This window comes from Homo sapiens, chromosome 5 (assembly GCF_000001405.40).
Source record: "Homo sapiens chromosome 5, GRCh38.p14 Primary Assembly".
NCBI classification, from domain to species: domain Eukaryota; kingdom Metazoa; phylum Chordata; class Mammalia; order Primates; family Hominidae; genus Homo; species Homo sapiens.
In genome coordinates, this window is record NC_000005.10 from 30677945 (window position 1) to 30681107 (window position 3163).

Below are 3163 nucleotides of genomic sequence, written 5' to 3' on the forward strand. Positions count from 1 at the left end.
TAAGTGTGTTATGTTACAAAATTTTTCACGTTCTGTCACTAATTTGAAAATATCCAGAAATTATAAAATGTAATCTTGAATATTGTTTTCTATCAAATATTGAATAAACAAATATATTCCACATAAATTTAGCTATCCTTATTAATAGTAGTTCTTTATATTCCTGATATGGTTTGGCTCTATGTTCCCACCCAAATCTCATCTTGTAGCTCTCAGAATTCCCACATGTTGTGGGATGTGGGAGTGACCCTGTGGGAGATAACTGAATCATGGGGGTGGGTCTTTCCCATGCTGTTCTCCTGATAGTGAATAAGTCTCATGAGATCTGATGGTTTTACAAATGAGAGTTTCCCTGCACAAGCTCTCTTTGCTCACTGCCATCCACATAAGACATGACTTGCTCCTCCTTGCCTTCCATCATGATGGTGATGTCTCCCCAGCCACGTGCAACTGTAAGTCCATTAAACCTCTTTCTTTTGTAAATTGCCTAGTCTTGGGTATGTCTTTATCAGCAGCATGAAAATGGCCTAATACAGTAAATTGGTACCAGTAGAATGGAGCACTGCTGAAAAGATACCTGAAAATGTGGATGTGACTTTGGAACTGGGTAACAGGCAGAGGCTGGAAGAGTTTGGAGGGCTCAGAAGAAGACAGGAAAATATCTCCCTAGAGACTTGTTGAATGGCTTTGACCAAAATGCTGATAATGATATGGACAATGAAATCCAAACTGAGGTGGTCTCAGATGGAGATGAGGGACTTGTTGGAAACTGGAGCAAAGGTGACTCTTGCTATGTTTTAGCGAAGAGACTGGCAGCATTTTGTCTCTGCCCTAGAGAGTAGAGGAACTTTTAACTTGAGAGAGATGATTTAGCATATCTTGCAGAAGAAATTTCTAAGCAGAAAATCATTCAAGAGGTGACTTGGGTGCTGTTAAAGGCATTCAGTTTTAAAAGGGAAACAGGGCATAAAAGTTTGGAAAATTTGTAGCCTGACAATGCAGTAGAAAAGAAAATCCCATTTTCTGAGGAGAAATTCAAGCTGGCTGCAGAAATTTGCATAAGTAATGAGGAGCTGAATGTTAATCACCAAGACACTGGGGAAAATATCTCCAGGGCATGTCAGAGACCTTTGTGGCAGCCCCTCCCATCACAGGCCTGGAGGTTTAGGAGGAAAAAAATGATTTCATGGGCCAATCCTAGGGTGCCTCTGCTGTGTGCAGCCTAGTAACTTGGTTCCCTGCATCCCAGCCACTCCATCCATGACTAAAAGGGGTCAAGGTACAGCTTGGGCTGTGGTTTCAGAGGGTGCAATGTGGGAGTTCAGTCAGGCAGGTGGGAAAAATTTTAAGATGAAATTATAGGAATTGAACACAAACCCTTTTGGAAGGCCTGGGGGTTTGCATAAAGGGTTTGGCTGAAGGCAGCTGAAATCTCTTAAAAGCTTAGGGGGTAGATACATAAGAATGTAGAGTAATTTATCTAAATAGCTTGTTTACTCATGTGGTCCTAAGACAACCTTTGATCAACCCCGGTGTGCATAACTGCTCTCTACTCAGGGAGTCGGCAACCAAGTCAATTATACTCTAGTGGTGTTTACTCAAGACCTTTGTCATTTAATCTATATTGAATAAATGTGAGCTTCGCTGGCTGAATGAAGCCACAGGTGCTACTCTTTACAGCACCTTCTTTGGTGACTGTGAGTGGGCCAAGACCCTTAGCAGGACTGACAGGTAGCATATCTTTGTCAGTGTACATTATTGATCTGTCGTTGGGTCGGGGTCTGTGGAATGGACCCCTGCATTGCAAGCCTCAAGATTTGGCAGCTTCCACATGGTGTTGAGCTTGCAAGTGCACAGAAGTCAAGACTCAGGGTTTGGGAACCTCCACCTAGATTTCAGAGGATGTATGGAAATACCTGGATGCCCAGGCAGAAGTTTGGTGCAGGGATGGGGCCCTCATGGACAACCTCTGCTAGGACAGTGCTGAAGGGAAATGTGGGGTCAGAGCCCCCATATGGAGTCCCTACTGGGGCACTGCCTAGTGGAGCTGTGAGAAGAGGACAGCCATCCTCCAGACCCCAGAATGGTAGATCCATTGACAGCTTGCACCGTGCACCTGGAAAACCCACAGACATTCAACACCAGCCCATGAAAGCAGCCAGGAGGGAGGCAGTATCCTGAAAAGCCACAAGTGCAGAGCTGCCCAAGACCATGGGAGCCCACCTCTTGCAGCAATATAACCTGAATGTGAGACATGGAGTCAAACGAGATCATTTTTTAGCTTTAAGATCTGACTTCCCCACTGGATTTTGGACTTGCATGGGGCCTGTAGCCCCTTTGTTTTGGCAATTTCTCCCATTTGGAATGGCTGTATTTACCCAATGCCTGTATCCCCATTGTATCTAGGAAGCAACTAACTTGTTTTTGATTATACAAGCTCATAGGCAGAAGGGACTTGCCTTGTCTCACATGAGACTTCAGACTATGGACTTTTGAGTTGATGCTGAAATAAGATTTTGGGGGACTGTTGGGAAGGCATGATTGGTTTTGAAATGTGAAGACATGCGATTTGTGAGGGACTGGGACAGAATGATATGGTTTGGCTCTGTTTCCCCACTCAAATCTTATCTTGTAGCTCCCATAGTTCCCATGTGTGGTGGGAGGTACCCCATGGGAGGTAACTGAATCATGGGGATAGGCCTTTCCCATGCAGTTCTTGTGACAGTGAATAAGTCTCATGAGATCTGATGGGTTTAAAAATGAGAGTTTCCCTGTACAAGCCCTCTTTTTGCATGCTGCCATCCATGTAAGATGTGACTTGCTCCTCCTTGCCTTTCACCATGATGGTGAGGTCTCCCCAGCCATGTGCAACTGTAAGTCCATTAAACCTCTTTCTTTTGTAAATTGCCCAGTCTTGCGTATGTCTTTATTAGTGGCAAAAAAACAGACTAACACAATCTCCAAATAATTTCTATATTCAATAATATTTCCAAAATATTTCACACATTGATAAATACTATTTAGACTGTTTTCACCTAATGTATTTTTGACTCTTCACCTCTACTAGATTGATAAGTAATTTTATCCCAATATTGAAGATATAGGAAATTCTAGATTTCATACTCTGAGTGAAGAAAAAGCAACAGATTATAAAATTATAAAC

At 43.0% G+C, this 3163-nt stretch overlaps 1 annotated feature.

Annotated features, from left to right (window-relative positions):
* Positions 2734 to 2903: an enhancer, noted in NCBI's record as "experimental_84289 CRE fragment used in MPRA reporter constructs". NCBI's record gives its function as "activates a minimal promoter by MPRAs in K562 erythroleukemia cells, with activity observed for the non-introgressed 5:30680870 variant allele {active_cell/tissue: K562}" and the evidence as "EXISTENCE:reporter gene assay evidence [ECO:0000049][PMID:34662402]".